General features: G+C 40.1%; 1 protein-coding gene across 1 annotated transcript in view, besides 1 other annotated feature; it reads right to left on the bottom strand.

The window, feature by feature from the left end:
• The window catches only part of CPQ (carboxypeptidase Q), a 498,260-nt gene that overhangs the window by 414,892 nt on the left and 58,650 nt on the right, over positions 1-24,718 (bottom strand). The window lies entirely within an intron of this gene.
• Positions 8,697-9,197: an enhancer, noted in NCBI's record as "H3K4me1 hESC enhancer chr8:97731641-97732141 (GRCh37/hg19 assembly coordinates)". NCBI's record gives its function as "activates a minimal SCP1, AML or CMV promoter by ChIP-STARR-seq in naive H9 embryonic stem cells {active_cell/tissue: H9 hESC(naive)}" and the evidence as "EXISTENCE:reporter gene assay evidence [ECO:0000049][PMID:30033119]".

Genomic DNA, 24,718 nt, shown 5'->3' with positions numbered 1-24,718 from the left:
TGCCAAATAATTGCAAAGAAAGCAAAGGTTTTCTGTTTTGAGAAGGATATTCTCAAATGCTCAAAAGCCTAGAATCTCAAATCAAAATATTGTGACCGTTTCTAAGACGGGGGAAAGTCAAAGACCTTATTTTCCTAAATCAAAAAACTGCTGTTTTAGTTCACCAATCCATTAGGACAAGAGTAGGGACAAATCCAGCATCCAGTGAAGTCAGGGCCACCTGATCAACACCAGAGCAAGATCAAGCAGAGAAGCCCTAAAACTGCAAATAAGTTTGAGAGCCATTAAATAATAAAATCCTGGCCTCTTGTCATACTTTTTTCAAGTTAAAAAAATATCATTCCATATAACATTTCTCTTCTAAAAATTATCAAAACAAGTCAGGCCTCCAAGAACCAGAATTTGATAGAAGCATTTAAGGCAAGCAGTGAGAGAAAGGAAAGGGTAAGTAATCAGACATTGCCCTGCCTGCTGTCAGTATCAGGTCACTTGGAAGTCAAGGTAAACCTGAGAGATGTCACAATGAGGTCTCCTCCAGAGAGAGGGGCACACCTTGGCAGGAACAGGCAGGTGAGGCAATGGCCAAAGCAAAAGGCAGATAAGCCAAAGTTTGAGGCAAAGTTCACCAACGGGCGACCTATGGGTTGAATCCAGGTCAGAAATATTTCATTTGGCCTGCATAGTGTTTCTAAATATTAAATCTATTGTTGACACTCAAAGGTCAAGAGATTTCAGTTAAAAATCTAGATAACTATTTTTCTCTGGAAAAATCAGAAGTCCTGGGAGCAACCCCATAAGGAGAAGCTACCCCCATCATCAGGCCACCACAGTCCCACTGCTCCTGATAGTGTTATATTAATCCTGGAATCCTGAGTCACTCATTAGTGCTCCCACCCTGGCCTATATAAGCATTTGAATGTGTCACCCATCGTTTAAGGAGCTCTCAGCTGTCAAAGGTGAGAAAAAAAATCCGGAATCTGGAAGTCAGGGAGGCCTAAGAGTTATCTTTCCTCAACATGTAGGTGCAAGCTAGGGATTTTAAAGCCAGAAAGCTAGGTGAGATGTAAAAGAACCATAAGGACTAAAGCAGCTAGGAAAATCAAGGTGGTACTGCCACAGAACATAGCAGTGAGATGAGATAAAACCTGAAGTGGTCCTGAGAGTGTTTTTATACCTTATGTCAGGAGCAAGGACTGCTAACTAGACTGAGGATGACCTAAGGTGAAAGTAGATGATTGAACACACCTGTTTTCAAAGTGAGACACCCTCAGATGTGTTTTAATGCAGGTCCCAGTGAAAACGAAATGGGAACTGTAGGGACAGGACTAAATAGCTGCTTGCTCTTTCATAAGAAAAGAAAAAAAATGCTGTTGCTTCCATTATATATTGGCTAAAGGGCTAGAAAATGATTTGGTATTACTCCCTAAAGTGGAAAACTCACATACTCTATGACCCAGTAATTTAGTCACTAAGTGTATACCCAAAAGAACCTCTTGCACATGTACAAAAAGAGATATGCACAAGAATGTTCATAGCCATCACTGTACTCAACAGCAATAACCTAGAAATAACCCAATTTCCCATCAACAGAAAAGAGGATGAATAAACTATGTACTAGTCCATTTGCTGATGCTTATAACAGAAAACCTGAAACTGGGTAATTTATAAAGAAAATAAATGTATTTCTTATAGTTCTGGAGGCTGAGAAGTCCAAAGTCAAGAGGTCACATCTGGTGTGGACTCTCTGCATAGTCCCAAGGCAGCAAAGGGCATCACTTGGTAAGGAGGTCAAAAGTGTTTGCTCAGGTCTCCCTTTCTCTTCTCAAAAAGCCACCAGTCCCACTCCCATGATGATGTGGTTTGGATCTATGTCCACACCCAATCTCATGTTCAGTTGTAATCGCTATTGTTGGAGGTGGGGCCTGGTGGGAGGTGATTGGATTATGGAGGTGGATTTCTCGTGAATGGTTTAGCACTATCCCTCTTGGCACTGTCCTTAAGATAGTGAGTGAGTTCTCATGGGTCATTTAAGAGTGTGTAGCACCTACCCCTCGCCCTCTTGCTCCTGTTCCTGCCATGTAAGATGCCTGCTCGCTGTTTGCCTTCCACTATGATTGTATGTTTCCTGAGGCCTCCTCAGAAGCCAAGCAGATATTAGCATCATGCCTCCTGTAGAGCCTTCAGAACCATGAGCAAATTAAACCTCTTTTCTTTATAAATTACCCAGTTTCAGTTATTTCTTTATAGCAATGCAAGAATAGACTAATATGCATGATAAGCAATCAATCTGTTATACCATTAATCCATTAATTCATGAATGAATTAATCCATAATGAGCACAGAACCCTCATGACCCAATCACTTCTTTTTCTATAATTTCTTCTTTTATTTTAGATTCAGAGGGCATATGTGTGGGTTTGTTACATGGGTTTGGGGTACGAATGATCCCATTATCCAGGTAGTGAGCAGAGTACCCAACAGGTAATTTTTCACCCCTTGACCCCCTGCCTCTCTACCCACTTTACTAGTCCCCAGTGTCTATTTTTCCCATCTTTATGTCCATGTGTACCAAATGGTTAGTTCCTACTTATAAGTGAGAACATGTGGTATTTGGTTTTCTGTTCCTGTGTCAATTCACTTAGGATAATGGCCTCCAGCTGCATCCATGTTGCTCCAAATAACACAATTTCATTATTTATTTTTTATGGCTGTGTAGTATTCCATGATGTTTATGTACCACATTTTCTTTATACAATCCACCAATGATGGGCACCTAGGTTGATTCCATGTCTTTGCTATTGTGAATAGTGCTATGGTAAACATATGAGTGCATGTGTCTTTTTTGGTAAAATGATTTATTTTCTTTTGGGTATATACCAAATAATGGGATTGCTGGGTTGAATGGCAGTTCTGTTTTAAGTTTCTTGGGAAATTTCCAAACTGCTTTCCACAGTGGCTGAACCAATTTACATTTCCACCACCAGCATATAAGCATTCCCTTTTCTCCTCAGCCTCACCAGCATCTGTTATTTTTTGTCTTTTAATAATGGCAATTCTGACTAGTGTGAGATGGTATTTCATCGTGCTTTTGATTTGCATTTCTCTGATGATTAATGATGTTGAGCATTTCTTTCATATGTTTATTGGCTACTTGTCTGTCTTCTTTTGATAAGTGTCTGTTCACGTCCTTTGCCCACGTTTTAATGAGGTTATTAGTTTTTGGTTTGTTGAATTGCTTAAGTTCCTTATAGAGTCTGGATATTAGACTTTTGTTGGATACATAGTTTATGAATACTTTCTCCCTTTCTGTAGGTTGTCTATTTAATCTGTTGATAGTTTCTTTGGCTATGCAGAAGCTCTTTAGTTTAACTAGGTACCACTTGTCAATTTTTGTTTTTGTTGCAATTGTTTTTGAGGACTTAGCCAAAAATTATTTGCCAAAGCCAATGTCCAGAATGGTACATCCTAGGTTTTCTTCTAAGACTTTTACAGTTTGAGGCCTTATATTTAAGTCTTTAATCCATTTTTGGTTAATTTTTGTATGTGGTGAAAGGCAGGGATCCAGTTTCATTCTCTGCATATGGCTAACCAGTTATCTCAGCACCACTTATCGAATAGGAAGTTCTTTCCCCGTTGTTTATTTCTGTTGACTTTCTCAAAGATCAGATGGTTGTAGTTGTGCAGCTTTATTTCTGGGATCTCTATTCTGTTTCATTGGTGTATGTGTCTGTTTTTGTACCACTACCTTATAGTATAAACAAGTTGGATAATGTGATGCCTCTAGCTTCATTCTTTTTACTTAAGATTGCTTTGTTTATTCAGGCTCCTTTCTGGTTCCATATGAATTTTAGAATTGTTTTTATCTAATTCTGTGAGAAATGACACTGGTAGTTTGATAGGAATAATGTTGAATCCATAAGTTTCTTGGGGCCAGTGTGGACATTTTAAAGATATTGATTCTTCCAATTCATGAGCATGGAATGCTTTTTCATATGCTTATGTTATCTATGATTTCTTTCAGCAGTGTTTTGTGGTTCTCCTTATAGAGATCTTTCACCTCCTTTGTTAGATGTATTCCTAGGGGTGTGTGTGTGTGTGTGTGTGTGTGTGTGTGTGTGTCTACTCTAAATGGGACTGCATTCTTGACTTGGCTCTCAGCTTGAATGTTATGCACAGAAATACTACTGCAAATCACCTCCTAAAGGCCCCACCTCTAAATACCACCACATTGGGGATTAAATTTCAATATGAGTTTTGGAAAGAACAAATATTCAAGCCATAGCAAGCTGTTATATTCACACATTGAATATTACAGAGCAGTCAAAAGGTATGAATGACTATAATATGCAACAATATGGATGATTCTGAGCAGTATAATACTGAATTTTAAAAATGTACTTCAAAAGATTATAAACAACACAATCCCCTATTTTTTAGTTAAAAACAGCAAGGGGGCAGGGAGAGAGAGAGAGAGAATGCATACAGATGCAATAAAACTATATAAAAAGAAAAGCAAGCAAATAGAAACATAGGGTCCAGAATGATGATTAGTTCAAATAGGGGTAGGCAGAGAGATAGGTTGGTGAGGTATAAAGACAGATTACTGTCAAGATCCCAGATTTTGTTTAGGGTAGGTTCTTGGGTACTTATATATTAAAAATTATATTATATTAAAATGAAAAGTACAGATCCTGAAAATGCCCTTCGGAATCTAGTTTGATGTAAATTGGTAGTCTTCCCCTAATATAAGAGGTCTCTTGGGAATAAATAATCACTTTAGAGTTAGTTTTGTTTGAGATGCCCCTAGTTTTTTAGAAAATCAGGCACACAAGTTGGTTGTTGTCCTGCAGCTCCACAGTTGCTAACCAACATCTACTAAATCATAGTAAAATTAGAGTACATGGTCTCTAAATTCCCTTTGAGTTCTAAAATCTGTGGTTCTACAGCTCGAAATTATGTCCTATAGATGCTTAAAGCAGTGTTTTTCAGTCCTCAAGGATACTAAAAAGGTACTCATTTAGGGAGGGAGAGATGGGGGTAATAAAAGAGAGATTGAGTAGACAGAATCCAACGCAAGCCTTCTTCAGACACAATAGCTCCTTTTTGTATGTTTTATAAATTGGGCTCTCTCCTAAGAGGGTTCTATCACATAAAACAAACCAAAGGGGTGGAGGGAGTAGTGAAAAACCACCACTCTAAATAACAATACTCCATTAGCAGGATAAATTTTCAGTCTCCATGTAAGTGTTTATAAAAGGATCCCCTTGTGTCAGGGAGATCCTTCAGGCCATTTCAACCATTACTGTATTTTATTTAATTTGCTTAATTGATATATTCTTAGAAAATTATGTCAGTGAATTTTTTTAAATAAAATCCAATTTTTAAAAACCAGTAGACCCAATTTTTTAAGAAAAAAATCCTTGTCCTATTTACTTTTGATAATATTTTACTATTCGGGGTATGGTATCTGTAAAATAAAAACATAATTATAATGTGTTACTTGGAAGGATTGCATGTTCAAGATAACTGAAGCTGAAAATGTTAAGTTGAAAACTTTCCCCAAAAAACAAGCATTTAATCATTTTAAGGCAATCTTTCTATGGCAGAGATGCTCATCGCTCATTAAATATTTATATGTCTTTCCTTACTTTCCAACCAACTTTCACTAAGCAGGGCCATATGACTACTTCTGGCCAATGAGCTATGAGAAGAAGCTCTATGTGTCACTTTCAGTCCCAAGAATTGCAGGCCCTCTAGCTTCCTCTTCCTGCGCCAGGGAAATCAAGAAAATAGATGATTTGATGGAACACAAAATGGAAGCTGCCTGGATCTCTAAGTCACTATACGGAGAGGAGTACACTGGAAAATTGTCCAAGCATCAAAGAAATTTGCATGAGAGAGAAATAAATCTGTGTTGTGTTAAGCCACTAAGATTTTAAGGTTAGTTGCTGACCTCAGACTAGCCTAGTATATCACTTACAACATATACTCTAGCATACTTTCCTATGCTTCTTCATTTAAATAAATTGAGGATGCATAGGAAACTTCATGTAGACCAGTGGTCAGCAAACTTTCTCTGTAAAGGACTAGAAAGTAAATATTTTAGGTCATATGTCTCTATCCTAACTACGCAATTCTGCCATGGTAGTTCAAAAGCAGCCATAGATAGATAATATGTGAAAAAAAAAACTGGTATGGTTATATTTCAATAAAACCTTATTTACAAAAGCAGAGAGCAGGCCAGATCTGGTCCCAGGGCCATAGTTTGCCAACTCCTGCTATAGATATTTAAACCTTTCCTTTATGATCTCTGAATATGTAGCCTCAAAAAGTAAAGACATAAGGAACCCACAAGAGTTATCCTATATATTTAAAGAGCAATCATATGAAAAAGGGAATAAACACTATCTCTATTTATTCATTCAATAAATAAATATTAATGGAATACCTACTTGTGAACCATGCATTGTACTAAGCACTATGGATATAGCACTGGACAAGACAAATAAAATCCCTGCCTTTATAGAGCTTATTTCTTGTGGAAGTAAGGAAAAGAAAAAAAGAACTGTTAATAATGACACCAGGGTAGTGTATGAAACATAAAACAGGGCCTCTATCCTGGTATAGGACTACCAGAAGAAGTTAAATCTGTGCTGCAACCTAAAGGATTAGCAAGAGTTAGCCAAGTAAAGTGGGGAGACAGAGTAGGAATTCCGGAAAAAGAAAAATAAATGTGCAAAGGCAAGGAGGCAAGTAAAACCACTGCACATATGACAAACTGAAAAAAGTAGTATGACATGCACAAAGGTTCAAGGTCGAGAGTGAAAGCCAAGGCTGGAGAGAGAGCTGGAAGAAAGATCATAGAGGGGGACCTGTGAGCTACTTTAAAGGACTGAACTTTATCCTAAGGATAAAGGAGTGCCTAATAAGGGTTCCAAACAGGAGAATGACAGGAGATTTGTGTTTTTGTGTTTCAAAAAGTTCACTCTGGAGGTAGTATGGAGGCTGAAAGTAAGGAGATCAGAAGACCTGTTAGAAAATTATTGTCCTAATTCTGATAGAATGCTTATCACCTGTACTAGGTGCAGATGAGAATTGAAAGTAGTAGAAGGAGGACTTCTGCTTCCAAAAGAAGTCAGAGAAACTGTAGTTATTGGTATAGGTGTACTGTCCCTCCATAAATGACCACAGAACCATAAAACTGGGCAAAACAGGCAACTATTTTCAGGCATTGGGAAGGGGGCAGTGTAAGACTGCAATCTCTGAGAGAATAAAAACTCACAAAGTAATCCCAATTTCCCATCTCTTTGTGCCAGGACAACTCCCAACCACAGTAAAGTGAGCTAGAGTCCAAGCAGAGGACAGCAGTCTTACTGAGATAAGAAGGCAGAATTCAAAGTGCTAAAAGTTAAAACATGCAGGGCAGGGCACCAGAGAGGAAGAAACCATGCAACATGGGGTCCTCAAAGTCCGTGTAGGAGCCCCCTGCAAGTACATTGCTGAGAGATGGGCTGTACGTGGGCAGGACAGCACTACCCAAAGCTTATAGAGTGGCTGCTATAGGATTAAAAACATAAAAGATGTATGAGATTTTGAGCATTGTTGGAAGATACTGGCATTCTGGCACAGCCAGGGAAGAAAAAAAAAAAACCCATGAACACCTTATTAATCTTTGGAGCATCCAGCAGAGATATCAGAAAGGCTTTACCTTAGGACCACACCATAGAAAATGCATTCGCAACAAGGGGAATATCATCCCCAACGGATGAAAATTAGTTCTTGGCAGGGAGGCGGGGAGCAAAAAGAATCTTAGATATTACAATGCTTTGTACCTCTTCAAAGAACCACAGTACATAAACAGATATAGAGTTATATCTGTGGTATTAAAACTTCATGGAGGAGGGGGGAGCAAAACTGGGAAAAAAATGTCTTAAAAATCTCTTTTATAGTAATGAAAAAAAAGATAGAGAAACACTGCCCTATGAATACAGACTAAACTAGTCCAAGAAAAGCCTAGAACTAAGTCTTGACAAGATCTTCAGAGGAAGTAATTTGTAAGTTAAGTCCTAGTAATTTATAGGGGCTTAGGCAGCACCTAGAGCTTTCCACAGAACCATTCCAGCAAAGCATAAAACCATGCCTATCTAAGTTCAATGTGATCAGCCAATAATTCTACTGCCTTCTAAACAAACAAAACACACACACATGAAACTCTTCAGAGAAAAATAACAGATTTGAGTGTCTGCAATATATTGTCTACAATGTCCCTCATACAATAAAAAAATGACTAGATCCACAAAGAAAAAAGGAACACGTGATCCACAGTTTTTTTTAAAAAAGTAATCAATAGAAACCAATCCCAAGATGCCGCAAGTGTTGGATTTACAGAAGACTTTCAGACAGCTATTTTAAATATGTTCAAGGAATTAAGAGAAAATATGTTCAAAGAATGAAATGAAAATATCGTCTTGATATATGTACATTTTTTTCCAAGATGGCAGATTGGAGTTATTGGTGGCATGCTTCTTCCATTTGGAAAGACAAAATAGTGCACAGAGATTCACACTGTGAACTTTTCTCCAAGAAGCAATACAGGAACTTAACAGGAAAACTAAAAGAAACCACAGACCCTTTGAATGAAGTGGCAGGCTTCAGCCTACACCATGAGCCAGGCAGAAAACCGTAAGTCCCCTGAATGTGAGAGAGGGATAAACTACCTCCAGGATATACACTCCTACTGGGGAACCTGGCAACCCAAGCACAGGGGAAGGCCTTAACCCTATACAGCACTGGAGCTGTTATAGGGAGCAGTAGGGAGTATATGAGAAAGAGTAACATTGAGACATGCTTTGTGTGCATTCCCAGTCTCCAGGAGAGATAGAGGGAAGCCATTCCTGATCCTACCTCACAGGGGAGGGACCTCACAGAAGTCTGCCAGCTGACACAGGCAGTGGTCACAGTGAGAGGTGACAGCATGTTGGCAGTCTTCACAGCCCTCACTCGCTCTCAGTGCCTCCTCTGCCTGGGCTCCCACTTTGGCGGCACTTGAGGAGCCCTTCAGCCCACCGCTGCACTGTGGGAGCCCCTTTCTGGGCTGGCCAAGGCCAGAGCCCACTCCCTCAGCTTGCAGGGAGGTGTGGAGGGAGAGGCGCGAGTGGCAACCGGGACTGCGTGCGGTGCTTGCGGAACAGCTGGAGTTCCGGGTGGGCGTGGGCTTGGCGGGCCCGCACTTGGAGCAGCCGGCCAGCCCTGCCAGCCCTGGGCAATGAGGAACTTAGCACCCAGGCCAGTGGCTGCGGAGGGTGTACTTGGTCCCCCAAAAGTGCCAGCCCACCAGCGCTGCGCTCGATTTCTCACCAAGCCTTAGCTGCCTTCCTGCGGGGCAGGGCTCGGGACCTGCAGCCCGCCATGCCTGAGCCTCCCACCCCCTCCATGGGCTCCTGTGTGGCCTGAGCCTCCCCAATGAGTGCCACCCCTTGCTCCACGGCACCCAGTCCTATCGACCACCCAAGGGCTGAGGAGTGCGAGCGCACAGCACAGGACTGGCAGGCAGCTCCACCTGCAGCCCCGGTGCGGGATCTACTGGGTGAAGCCAGCTGGGCTTCTGAGTCTGGTGGGGACATGGAGAACCTTTATGTCTAGCTCAGGGATTGTAAATACAGCAATCGGCACTCTGTATCTAGCTCAAGGTTTGTAAACACACCAATCAGCACCCGTGTCTAGCTCAGGGTTTGTGAATGCACCAATTGACACTCTGTATCTAGCTACTCTGGTGGGGCCTTGGAGAACCTTTGTATTGACACTCTGTATCTAGTTAATCTAGTGGGGACATGGAGAACCTTTGTGTCTAGCTCAGGGATTGTAAACGCACCAATCAGCGCCCTGTCAAAACAGACCACTCGGCTCTACCAATCAGCAGGATGTGGGTGGGGCCAGATAAGAGAATAAAAGCAGGCTGCCCGAGCCAGCAGTGGCAACCCACTTGGGTCCCCTTCCACGCTGTGGAAGCTTTGTTCTTTCGCTCTTTGCAATAAATCTTGCCACTGCTCACTCTTTGGGTCCACACTGCTTTTATGAGCTGTAACACTCACCACGAAGGTCTGCAGCTTCACTCCTGAAGCCAGCGAGACCACAAGCCCACTGGGGGGAACGAACAACTCCAGACGCGCTGCCTTAAGAGCTGTAACACTCACCGCGAAGGTCTGCAGCTTCACTCCTGAGCCAGTGAGACCACGAACCCACCAGAAGGAAGAAACTCCGAACATCAGAAGGAAAAAACTCCAGACACACCACCTTAAGAGCTGTAACACTCACTGTGAGGGTCCGCGGCTTCATTCTTGAAGTCAGTGAGACCAAGAACCCACCAATTCCGGACACAACAGGTTGGGAGAAGCCCCCAGTTAAGATTCACAATATAATCTCAAGTACGGATGAACTCCCTTGGCCAGAACTGAGGGGTGAGTGGGAAGTGGGCTGAAGCCACAAGCACAGAAGCAGTGTGCCCCTGCTTCTAGGGCAGGCTGGGAGGGGCATGGCCTGGGCACAGTGGTTTCTGTCTCCATGGAGAAAGCTTATGGCCTGGGGAAGTTTTGAGTCCTGATGCAGACTGCCTGGAAACTAGCTAGCTGCTGCTAGTGGAACACTGCAAGTGTGAAAACAGCCTTGCCAAGTGCATAGGAGCTAAGTAGGGCTTACTGTCACCTGCTACTCCCCACTCCCCATGAAGACTCTTCTGTACAACAGAGGCAGTTGTGCTCCTCCCTGGAACATTACCCCAGCAGCTAGAGAACTGCCCTACAATCCCCTCTGGAGCCACTGCTTGTGCCCACACGTGGAGAGCCAGAACACATACTTGCCTGACCCAGCGCCCACGACTTGGCTTTGCCCCTCCATGTGTCCTAGTAGCTTAACACAAATGATGGAACTTTTGGGGAGCTCTATGTCCCAATCCATTGTCTGAGTACCTCCCCTGGGTAACATAAAGCAAAGAAAAATACTATCATCATTCTTCACAAAACTAGAAAAAAAAATCCTAAAATTTATATGGGACCAAAAAAGAGCCTACATAGCCAAAGCAAGGCTAAGCGAAAAGAATAAATCATATTGTTCTTGAGGCATCAAATTACCCAGCTTCAGACTATACTATAAGGCCATAGTCACCAAAACAGCACGGTACTGGTATAAAAATAGGCACATAGACCAGTGGCTATGTGCCAATAATAGATGTTGGCATGGATGTGGTGAAAAAGGAGCAATTTTACACTGCTGGTGGGAATGTAAACTAGTAAAACCACTATGGAAAACAGTGTGGAGATTCCTTAAAGAACTAAAAGTAGATCTACCATTTGATCTAGCAATCCCATTACTGGCTATCTACCCAAAGAAAAAGAAGTCATTATATGAAAAAGATACATGCACACACATGTTTATGGCAGCACAACTCACAATTGCAAAAATATGTAACAGCCCCAACGCCCATTAATCAATGAGTGGATAAAGAAAATGTGGTGTGTGTGTGTGTGTATATATACGTATATATATATATATATATATATATATATATATATATATATATATATATATATTTATATCATGGAATACTGCTCAGCCATAAAAAGGAACGGAATAATGACATTCACAGCAACATGGATGGAATTGAAGATTATTATTCTTGCGTGTGTGTGTGTGTATGTGTGTGTGTGTGACGGAGTTTTGCTCTTTTTTGCCCAGGCTGGACTACAATGGTGTGATCTCAGCTCACTGCAACTTCTGCCTCCCAGGTTCAAGCAATTCTTTTCCCTCAGCCTCCCAAGTAGCTGGGATTACAGGCCCACGCCAACACACCCAGCTAATGTTGTATTTTTAGTAGAGACGGGGTTTCACCATGTTGGCCAGGCTGGTCTCAAACTCCTGACCTCAGGTGATCTGCCCATCTCAGCCTCCCAAAGTGCTAGGATTACAAGCATGAGCCACTGCACCTAGCTGGAGATCATTATTCTAAGTTAAGTAACTCAGGAATAAAAAAGCAAACATCGTACGTTCTCACTCATAAGTGGGAGCAAAGCTATGAGGATGCAAAGGCCTAAGAGTGATATAGTGGACTTTGGGAACTCCAAGGAAAGGGTGGAAGTGGGATGAGAAATAAGAATACACATTCAGTGTAGTAGTGTATACTGCTTGGGTGATGGATGCACCAAAATCTCAGATATCACCACTAAAGAACATATCCATGTAACAAAACACCACCTGTTCCCTTAAAATCTATTAAAATAAAAATTTAAAATTTAAAAATAAATAAAAAATAAATCTGTATATTTGCTCATGGAAACAACAACAACAAAAAATCCACTGCTACCACCACAGCTGGCACTCTTTTGCAAGTGCCACCACCTACTAGAAGCCAACCAACACAGTCCATTACACCATCTGCAGTTAAAATGACACAGCGCCCAGGCCAGAGAAAACTTGTGCATGACCTCAGCTTTCACCATTGCCTGCATCACCCTAGCTAATGAGAAGGTCCTGGTCTGTCCACATGACCAGTTCATTACTACTACAGCCAACATTTGAGAAAGCCAACACACTAAGGCTATGTATACCCAAAGGATCTCACAGAGTCTATGTCACTCCCCTGCCACCTGCATCAGAGCTAGTGCTGGTACCTGCTGCTCAGAGACTTGAGGACAGTTCACATCACTGGAACCCTTGCAGACATTCCCTAGCACCAGCTTGGAGTGTGACAGCCCCACTGGGTGGCTAAACTAAGAGGAGCAGCATCATTCACAGTAATCTGGCCCTCAGGGACTCCTATTCCTGCAGAAAGGGGGACTGCACCACATCAAGGGAGCACCCCATGGGACAAAAGAATCCAGATGGCAGGTCTTGAGTCCCAGAACTTTCTGCTTGTGGGAAGTTTCTTTCAGCAGAGGCAAAAGTGAAGTGCTGCACTCCACAGGGAAAGTCTGCAGCTCTATCCAATACTTGGGCAGCCCTGGTACTCATGAAGGGTCTTGGAGAAGGGGACTTCTTCTCCCCCTCATCCACCATTGCAGATACAGCTGGGGATTCTTTCATGGGAGCTTCGTGTGGGTACACCTATAGACAGCCTTTCTGAAATGGTTCAGAGTAACTCCTTCCTCACAGGAGGAGTGCCCTCCAGGTTCAGGCTTGCACAAGGAGTAGAGTCACAATCCCTATCTACTTAGAGAATCAACATTCTTGGAGATGGAAAGAGGCACCTGTCTGATGTGAATAGCTAGAACACTGGGTCAGGAGTATGACTGGGAGGTAGATTGCTTTCCTGCTGGCCTGGCTGGGAAGCTAATGTGGCTGCCTAAATTTCCCCTGCAGAGAACTCACTGTGTTTCACTGAGAGCTCCCCCAGCCTCCTCTATCAAGGCTAGGACCTCTGCCCACCACTGGGTATTGCATTTACCCACCTGCTTTGGCCACACTGGTTTTTTACCCACAGACACCTCCCCTACTGGCCTGAAGCCTGAATTCTTCAACCCAGTAAGTAAAATACTGGGGAAAAAAATAAATTAAAATGTGCACATCACTGGGGAATAAGATAAGCTTCAAGAGACCTCTGCCATTTCAACCCCACAAGAGACTATGAACCTGCTCACACACTGAACACATTGCTACTACAATCAACATCTGAGAAAGCCATAATACAAAGACTATCTATAATCAACGAATTTCATACAGAGTCTTCACCCCTGAAAGCACCAAGAGCTTCATTAGGCTAGAATAAACTGTAAATACTAAAGTCGCATCATCAAGAGGGAAAAAAAAGAAAACACAGTAGAATCAAAAATAAATTCAAGAATAATTAGAAAAAATTATCTATCCAAAAGAGAAGAAACCAGAAAATGATTCTGGAAATACGAAACAGGGTTCTATAACAACCCCCAAAAGGTCACAGTAGCTCTCCAGCAATGAATCCAAACCAAGAAGTAATCTTTGAAATACCAGATAAAAAAAATCAAAAGGTTGATTATTAAGCTACTTGAGGAGATATAAGAGAAAGATAAAAACCAACATAATTTTTTTATTTAAAAAATCAGGATGTGAATGAAAAATTCTCTAAAGAAATAGATATTTTAAAGGAAAACCAATCAAAACTTCTGGAAATTAAAGACACATTTGGGGAATTACAAAATGCAGAGGAAAGTTTAAAAAGTAGAATAGACCAAGTAGAAGAATTTTAGAGCTTGAAGACAAGGCTTTTGAATTAACCCAATCAGACAAAAATAGAAATAAAAAAGAATTAAAAGAAATGAACAAAGTCTCTAGGAAATATGGGATTATGTAAAATGGCCAAACCTAAGAATCACTGGTGTTCCTGAGGGAGAAGAGAAAGCAAAAAGTTTGGAAAACTTATTTGATGGAATAATTGCGGAAAAGTTCCTTGGCCTTGCTAGAGATTTAGGTATCCAAATACAAGAATCTCAAAGAACTCCTAAGAGAGTCACTGAAAAAAGGGCATGACCAAGGCATATGGCCAACAGGCTTCAGAAGTAGACATGAAGGAAAGAATTCTAAGAGCAGTGAGACAACAGTATCAGAAAACTTATAAAGGAAAACCTATCAGACTAATAGGAGACTTCTCAGCAGAAACCTTACAAGCCAGAAGGAGTTGGTGTCCGCTTTAGCCTCTTAAAAAGAATAACTATCAACCAAGAATTTTGTATCCAGCAAAACTAAGTTTCATAAATTAAGGAGAAATAGTCTTTTTCAAACAACCAAATTCTGAAGGAGTTTGTCACTACCACACCAGCCCTACAACAAATGATAAAAGGAGTTCTAAATCTTGAAACAATAGGTCAATATGCTCCATAATAGACCTCTTGAAAGCATAAAACTCAAGGACCTTGGTATGGTTTGGCTGTGTCCCCATCCAAATCTCATCTTGAGTTGTAGTTCCCATAATCCCCATGCACTGTGGAAGGAACCCAGTGGGAGGTATTTGAATCATGGGGGCAGTTACCCCCATGCTTCTATTCTCATGATAGTGAGTGAGTTCTCACAAGATCTGATGGTTTTCTAGGGAGGTTTTCCCCACTTCACTCTGCACTTCTTGCTGGCACCATGTGAAGAAGGATGTGTTTGCTTACTGTCAGTTTCCTGAGGCCTCCCCAGCCACACTGAACTGTGACTCAATTAAATCTCTTTCCTTTATAAATTACCCAGTCTTGGGTATGTCTTTATTAGCAGCACAAGAATGGACTAATACAGTAAATTGGTAACGGGAATGGGGCGCTGCTGTAAAGATACCTGAAAATGTGGAAGCGACTTTGGAACTAGGTAACAGGCAGAGGTTGGAACAGTTTTGAGAGCTCAGAAGAAGACAGGAAAATGTGGAAAAGTTTAAAACTTCCTAGAGATTTGGAGGGCTTAGAAGACAGGAAGATGTGGAGAAGTTTGGAATATTTTAGGACTTGTTGAATGGCTTTGACCAAAATGCTGATATAAACAATGAAGTGCAGGCTGAGGTGGTCTCAGATGGAGATGAAGAACTTGTTGGGAACTGGAGTAATGGTGGCTCTTGGTACACAAAGAGACTGGTGGCATTTTGCCCCTGCCCCAGAGATCTGTGTAACTTTGAACTTGAGAGAGATGATCTAGCGTACTTGGCAGAAAAAACTCCTAAGGGGCAAAGCGATCAAGAGGAAGCAGAGCATAAAAGTTTGGAAAATTTACAGCCTAATGATGCAATAGAAAAAAAAATTTGTGGGAGAAATTCAAGCCAGCTGCAGAAACTTGCAAAAGTAACAAGGGGCCAAATGTCAACCATCAAGACAACGGGAAAAATGTCTCCAGGGCATGTCAGAGACCTTCATGGCAGCCCCTACTATTACAAGCCCAGAGGCCTAGGAGGGAAAAATGATTCTGTGGGCCATGTACAGGGCCCCCATGCTCTATGCAGCCTCAAGACATGATGCCCTGCATCCCAGCTGCTTCAGCTCCAGCTATGGCTAAAAGGAGGCTAAGTACAGCTCAGGCTGTTGCTTCAGAGAGTGCAAGCACAAAGCCCTGGTGGCTTACATGTGGTGTTGGGCCTGCGGGTGCACAGAAGTCAAGAACTGGGGTTTGGGAAGCTCTGCCTAGATTTCAGAGGATGTATGGAAACACCTGGATATCCAGGCAGACGTTTGCTGCTTGAATGGAGCCCTCATGGAGAACCTCTGCTAGGGTGATGTGGAAGGGAAATGTGGTGTCATAGCCCCCACACAGAGGCCCCACTGGAGCACTGCCTAGTGGAGCTGTGAGAAGAGGGCCACTGTCCTCCAGATACCAGAATGCTAGATTCACCAACAGCTTACACCATGCGCCTAGAAAACCACAGACACTCATCACCAGCTGTGAAAGCAGCTGGGAGAGGGGCTGTACCCTGCAAAGTCACAGGGGTGGAGATGCCCAAGACCATGGATGTCCACCTTCTGCATCAGCATGACCTGGATGTGAGACATGGAGTCAAAGGAGATCATTTTGTAACTTTAAGGTTTAATGACTGCCCTATTAGATTTCAGACTTGAAAGGGGTTGTATCCCCTTTGTTTTGGTCAATTTCTCCCATCTGGAATAGTTGTATTTACCCAATGTCTGTATCCCCATTGTATCTAGTAAGTAATTAACTTGCTTTCAATTTTACAGGCTAATAGGCAGAAGGGACTTGCCTTGTCAGATGAGACTTTGGACTTGGACTTTTGGGTTAATGTTGGAATGAGTTAAGACTTTGGGGGACTGTTAGGATGGCATGATTGTGTTTTGAAATATGTGGACATGAGATTTGGGAGGGGCTAGAGGCAGAATGATATGGTTTGGCTGTGTCTCCACACAAATCCCGAGTTATAGTTCCCATAATCCCTATGTGTCATGGGAGGGACCCAGTGGGAAGTAATTGAATCATGGGGGCAGTTACCCCCATGCTGCTGTTCTTATGATAGTGAGTCAGTTCTTACCAGATCTGATGGTTTTATAAGGTGTTTTTCCCTATTATCCTCAGCACTTCTCCTTGTTGCCACCATGTGAGGAAGGACATGTTTTCTTTTCCTTCTCCCATGACTGTAAGCTTCCTGAGGCCTCCCCAGCCATGCTGAACTGTGAGTCAATTAAACCTCTTTCCTTTATAAACTACCCAGTCACAGGTATGTCTTTATTAGCAGTGTGAGAACAGACTAATACAGACCTATAAAACAACCGCACAGTGGAGAAAGCAAAGCATCTGGGCAACATCAACATGATGACTGAACAGTACACACATCTCAGTATTAACATTGAATGTAAATTGTCTAAACGCTCCACTTAAAAGATACAGATTGGCAGAATGGATTTTAAAAAAATCACAGCCAAATATCTGCTGTCTTCAAGAGATCACCTTAAATGTAAGGGTTCTAATAAACTCAAGGTAAAGGGGTGGAAAAAGTTAATCCATGCAAATGGAAGCTAAATGCAAGCAGGAGTAGCTATTCTGATGTCAGATAAAACAGACTAAAGCAATAATAGTAAGAAAAAAAGGGGGGGCAAAAAAGGTCACAAGAAGACATTATAATCCTAAATATATGTGCACCTAACTCTGGCGCTCCCACATTCATAAAACAGTTACCACTAGACCTAAGAAAACAGATAGATAGCAACACAATAATAGTGGGGAACTTCAATGCTCCACTGACAGCACTAGACAGATCATAGAGGCAGAAAGTCAACAAAGAAACACCGGACTTAATCTACACTATAAAAAAAATTGACCTAATAATATTTACAGAATATTCTACCCAAGAATTGCAGAATATACATTCTTCTCATTAACACATGGAACATTCTCCAAGATAGACCATATGACATGCCACAAAACAAATCTCATTAAGTTTTTTAAAACTGAAATCAAATCAAGTATCTTCTCAGACCACAATGGAATAAAACTAGAAATCAACTTCAAATGGAACCCTCAAAACTACACAAATACATGGAAATTAAGCAATCAGCTCCTGAATGATTTTTGCGGTAGCAATGAAATCAAAATGGAAATATAAAAATGATTCAAAATGAATAATAATAGTGACACAAGGTTTCAAAACCTCAGAATACAGCAAGAGCAGTGCTAAGAGGAAAATTATAGGTCTAAATGCTTGCATCAAATAGCCTGAAAGATTACAAATTAATAACCTAATGTCACATCTGAAGGAACTAGAGAAACAAGAACAAACCAAACCCAAAGCTAGCAGAAGAAAAGAAATAACAAAGATCAGAACATAACTAAATGAAATTGAAACCAAAAAACCAATAAACCAAAAAGTTGGTTCTTTAAAAATATAAACAAAACAGAAGAGAGAAGATTCAAATAAGCTCAATTAGAAATAAAAATGGAGACATTACAACCAATAGCACGGAAATACAAAAAAAATTTCGAGACTACTATGAACACTTCTATGCACATAAACTAGAAAATCTAGAGGAAATGGATAAGTTCTTAGAAATATACAACCCTCCTAGCTTGAATAAGTAAGAAATAGAAACCCTGAATAAACAAATAACAAGCAGTAACATCGAATCAGTAATTTTTAAAAATTGCCAACAACAAAAGAAAAAGCCCAGGGCCAGAGAGATTCATAGGGGAAATCCATCAGACATTCTAAGAAAAATTGGTACCAATTCTACTGAAACTATTCCAAAAGATTGAGAAAGAAGGAATCCTCCCTAACTCATTCTATGAAGCCAGTGTCACCATGATACCCAAACCGGGAAAGAACAGAACAAAAAAAGAAAACTACAGACCAATATTCCTGATGAACATTAATGCAAAAATCCTCAACAAAGTACTAGCAAATCGAATCCAACAGCACATCAAAAAGATAATTCACCATGATCAAGTGGGTTTTATCCCAAGGATGCAGAGATGGTTTTGCATTCACAAGTTAATACACAACCACATTTATGTGTACTCAGAATAAATGAGTATGCAGTAAAGTAGATACCCAGCAATCCCACTACTAGGTATCTACCCAAAGGAAAAGAAGTCATTATATCAAAAAGACACTTGCATGCATATGTTTATCGCAGCACGGTTCAAAATTGTAAAGGTATAAAACCAACCTAAGTGTTCATCAACAGATAAGCGGATAAAGAAAATGTGGTATTTATACACCATGGAATACAACTCAGCCATAAAAAGGAATGAACTAATGTACTTTGAAGCAACATGGACAGAGCTGGAGGCCATTATTCCAAGTAAAGTAACTCAGGAATAGAAAACCAAATACTGTATGATCTCACTTATAAGTGGGAGCTAAGCTGTAGGTATGCAAAGGCATACAGCTTGGTATAATGGATTTTGGAGACTCAGAAGCGGAGAGGGTGGGAGAGGGGTGAGGGATTAAAAAAACCACATATTGGGTACAATGTCCAGGGACAGGTACACTAGAATCGTAGGCTTTACTACTGTACAATTTATTCATGTAAACAAAACCACTTGTACCTCAAAAGCTATGGAAATGAGTTAAATATAGATAAATTTAAAAACTAAAAAATGAACATACATAAAGAACAATGACAGAAAAAGAAAACATGGTCTTGATTCATAAACAAATGAGAATCTCAGCAAATAAATTGAAACTATAAAAAAATTAAATTCTAAAACTGAAAAGTAAAATACTTAAAAGAAGTAGACAGATCTGAAAGATATTTTAGGAGTTATATATTAAGAATATTCAACAGTGGTGAATGGTGGGTGATAAAGAAGAATTCCCAAGATTTTGCCGAGACAACTATGTAGGTAGTAATTCCATTTATTGAGATACGTAACTCTGCGAAAAAGCAGGTTAACATTGTTCCAAAAGTCAGAAACCAACGTGCTACTCTGTGGTGATTGTAAAGGCTAGGTGATAGGATGATCTAGAACAACCATAGCTATACAACAATGCAGCTGATTTTGTTGTTAAGTAGGGAGTATCCTTCACAGGAAACTAATGACAGAAAATTAATAAACTAGAGATTCTATTATAGAAGAGAATAAAACTACAAGGGATAGAAGATTGGAGCAGATATCATATCAGTCCTCTTTTAAAATTAAGTTTCTATTGTTCTTAAATTATTTTGAGACCCTATACTGTGTTGGATGAAATATAGGTATAGGCCCAACAAACAATGTATATATATATATATATATATACACACACACACACACACATATGGCTTACCTTGTCTTTTCATTAAATGGCTCCAAATTTAGAAGCTGTGGTAGGCAGAATAATGGCCCACACAAAAATATCCAGTCTTAATTCTTGGAACCTACGGATATATTAGGTTCTATAGCAAAAGGGATTTAAGATTGCTAGTCAGCTGACTTTAAAATAAGGAGACTATCTTGGATTATCAAGGTGTGCTCAGTGTAATCACAAGAATCCTTATAAGTGTAAGGGAGAGGCAGAAGAAGAGAGGCAAAGGAAGATGGAACTATAGAAGAAGGGGACAGAGAGATGCAACATTGATGGCTTGGAAGATGGAGGAAGGGGGCCATGAACTAAGGAATATGGGCAGCCATTAAATGCTAGAAAGGAAAAGAAAATGGACTCTCTCCTAAATCCTCCAGAAAATAAAGCAGCCCTGAGGGCACCTTGATTTTAGCCCAGTGAGAACAGTGCTAGATTTCTAACTTGAGTGTCAGAGTGACACAATATGACAATACTTGACTGGTCATTGCTGCCTTTAAATATGGAGGAAAGAGCCACAAGCCAAAAACATAGACAGCATTCAGAAGCTGGAAGGGGCAAGGACACAGATTCTCCCCTAGAGCCTCCAGAAGGAATGCAGCTCTACTGGCACTTTATTTTTTGCCAAGTAAAACCCATTTTGGACTTCTGACTCCCAGAACTACAAAATAATAAATCTGTGTTGTCCTAAGCCAAAAAAAAAAATCATTCATTCATTCATTCATTCATTCATTAAAATGAAATTGTGTTGTTTAAGCCAGTAAGTCCATGGTAATTTTTTTGTAATACCAGTAGAAAGTTAATACAATGATCTAGATCAGGGGTGCCTCAACTTTCGGCTTCCCTGGGCCACACTGGAAGAAGAATTGTCTTGGGCCACACATAAAATATGCTAACACTAAGGATAGCTGATGAGTTAGGAAAAAAAAAATCTCATAATGTTTTAAGAAAGTTAACGAATTTGTGTGGGCATTCAAAGCTGTCCTGGGCCACAGGTTGGACAAGCTTGAAGTAGATACTTGCACTAGGCCAGTGTAGTAGCTCCTATCCACATGTGACTAAGTTAGTTAAATTGAAATTAAAATTAAATTTCAGTATCTTAGGTTCAATAGCCACATTTCCAGTGCTCATCAGCTCCTTGTGGCTAGTGACCACTGTATTGGGCAGTGCATAGAAAAACTTCTGTCATTGCAGAAATTCCTACTAAGCAACAGTGATCTGTTTCTTCATTGTCTCTGCACAGTTATACTTTAGGGTCTATTACTTTGTACAGGGCTATTTTTACAGCTATAAGCCTCCTTTTTTTCCCCTAGATCAAAAGTGGAAACTATATGTTGCCAGGAGAAAATAAATAAAATGTCATAGATATAACTAAATCAAATAAATTCTGGGCCTATCATAAGAAAAGAGACGTCAATCTGGGTTTTACTGAATCAAGCTGTGGGCTTTATGAAAGGCATTTACACTGACCTACAGGCTTTTTACTTCAGCTTACTCCTACCTTTGTGGCTATTCTAGAAGATTATGGTTGTAAGAAATAGAAAATTTGAATAGCAAGATCATTACTGAAACTTAAAATTTGCAAAAAAATGTGGAAAGACGTAAGTAATGACTATTGAATAAAAACTCAAAGTCATTTCCTCCTCTATAACTTTTCTGGATTTTATTCACAGTACTGATATAATGAAACCGGAAAATGTAAAGCAGTTACTGTCAATGAATAAAGTCATGTTATTCAAAATTTTACTACTGCTTATGAATCATAACTTCCCATTTTAACATTAAGCTGTCACTTTAAATGCATGCCTTCAAATGTTTTAAAAATTGTTCACTCATGTAGACAAGAACTTCAAATTCAGCTTGATTTGAAATCAGTGAAATTCGCTGAAAGTTTTTCTCCAACTTAGCAGTATCTCCCCACCCTTAATACCCTTAACACATTCACCCCCAACCCTCAAGGGCTAACTGCACTCTTCTCCAGCCCTATGCAGGTCATGTTGATGCTTTTCCTCCCCAAAGTTAACAAAATGCCCAGTCAGCCAAGTTACTTAGATATAGGGAATATAAGAAGCAACACACAGTATAATAGACACAGGCTAAAAAAACAATACACCTGGCTTAAAATAATAGAGTCATTGGTTCAAAACCAGGGGCTTGAGATAAATTCACAAATCAAGTAATCATAAAATTCCACAGGTCAAGAAAAATCAAGTAGTCTAGAAAAAAGAAAATTCAGGCAGCAAAGATCACGTATTAAAACACGGTCCAGGCAACAAAGACAGGCTGTCAGCAAGCCTTTAACATTACAACTGTTTGCCTCAGCCTAGGAAAAAGAATCAATCCTCAAACATGGGAACAGCAGGCTAAGCTATTAGTAGCAGAGGCACCTAGCCAGAATGTGGAGTAACTGGGAGGAGAGGAAGGCCCACTGATCTTCACACACTGGTCACATTATCATTAGATCCATTATCAAAGAGAATATACACACTTCATTATCAAAGGTAAAAATTATATGAGATAAAAAAATGTATTTCATAATGGAAAAATGGGGAAAGGTGATAACTGTACAAAATGTTAATAAATCCTGAGTAAAATAATGCCTATAATTATGAAACATGCCCTGGGATTCTTTGGACAAAGAGGAATTGGGATAAAGTTAGAGGAAATGGGAAACAGATAGTCAAGAGAGAGGGAATAGAAGGAAAGGGACTATTGGGAGACCTAGGCAGGCCAACCTCCAAAGTGATGAAGTAGACACCAGACTCTTGGCTGCAACAGCTTCTGGAAATAACTTTTAGCAGCCACAGGTCTAGGGGTAGGAGCAAATCCATGCAAAGAAACCACAGATGCAGAATTTAAATGCCTCTACCCCTCAAAAAGTTTCCCATCTGCTTCCTGATACCTAAATCACCATTTCACAGTTATAGACAAAAGGCTTAAAATAAAATGTTTATGGTGTCCCACATAGAAGAGGCTGTGAGGAAAAATCTGCTTTCCGCTCTTGCTCATCTTTCCTAAGAAAGCTCTGTATTCCCACTCAATAACAGATATATTTCATGCCTATTAAGCTGGAAGCATGCTAGGCACTAGGGTTTCAAGCATGATTTTAAAGAACAAAATCTCTACTCTCAAGGACAATAGAAGAAAAAGACAAGAAAATAAGTGATTAAAATATGGTAAATTAAATAGAGTCTTATTAGAGAGATATGCTTGGGCAATTGACAATAAAACCACTCAGAAAGGCCATATAAATAAGCATAGATAGTTTAGTTTAAACTTTTCTGCTTTTAAGATTCTTTCCTGTTCACCCTTCTTTATCATCTTTAAAAGAGGAAGTTCCTCAAAGATTAGCCTGAATGAAGCCCTCTGTTTTTGTTACTCTACACTCTCCCCCTAGACAATTTCATCAGTCCTCTTGACTTCAAACACCATTCACAGTGTTGTCACTCAAATGAGTGTATTCATTTCAGACCTCCTTCTCTGAACCCAAAAATATGTATAGCCAATTGTCTACTTAATACCTCCAAATGGATGTTTCACAGGTACTTTGAATCAAAGATTTCCCAGACTGAACACCTAATCTTCAAGACCATGAATGGTTGCACTATCCACTCAGTAGTCTCTCTCCCATCCACAGAACAACAGATTGATTTCCTGTTTGTAGTTCTTTAATAACTTCCCAATGCTCTTAGGATAAAACTCCAAATCCCTATATAGCCTCCTAATCCCTGACTATCCTGCCCTCTCCTACCTCTCTAGACTCACCTAATATACTCTCCTACTCTTGAACTCCAGATATATCAATTTTATATCACACATTCTAATGTTCCATTCTTTGACCTGATCCCTCTGCCTAGAATATATACTCTTTGCTCCATTTAGTTGCTGCTTACTCCTTCAAAGTTCAACTCAATCCATATTTCCTTAAAGGAGTATTCCTGATTGTCCATACTAATTCAAAATCTCCAGAAATACACTTCCTAGCATTACCATAACTATAATTAAATAAGAACGAACATTTATTAAGCATCTACTGTTGGATCAAACACTATTCTCAGTGATGGACATTCAGCAATAGGAAAGACGAAGTTTCTGCTCTTTTAGAGCTACATTTGTCATGAGGGGAGACAGACAATAAGCAAATGAGCAAAAAGGCAAGATAATTTCACATAATATGGAGATAATAAATAAAGAGCAGCTGAATCAGAATCCGGGCCAAAGGGGAGAGTATTACCTCAAATGGGTTGTTCAGTGCTTGGTCTTCCTGAAGGAATATAAGTTTCAAAGGGTAGGGGCTTTGTCTTACTGCTATATCCCCAGTGCCTGGGACATAATAGGTGCTTGATGAATACTTAAGAACTGAAAGTATGAAGGATGTTGCTTTCTACATAGGACTATTTTCCAAGATGCCAAAGAACAATCTCAGGGACATCATATTTTTGTATTCCAAATTATATCACCAGCACGTCTTCAAAATATTTGTTGAATAGATGAATAAATGAAACA

The sequence above is a fragment of the Homo sapiens genome, chromosome 8 (assembly GCF_000001405.40).
Source record: "Homo sapiens chromosome 8, GRCh38.p14 Primary Assembly".
Classification (NCBI taxonomy): domain Eukaryota; kingdom Metazoa; phylum Chordata; class Mammalia; order Primates; family Hominidae; genus Homo; species Homo sapiens.
This window is presented reverse-complemented; position numbering and strand designations above follow the sequence as displayed.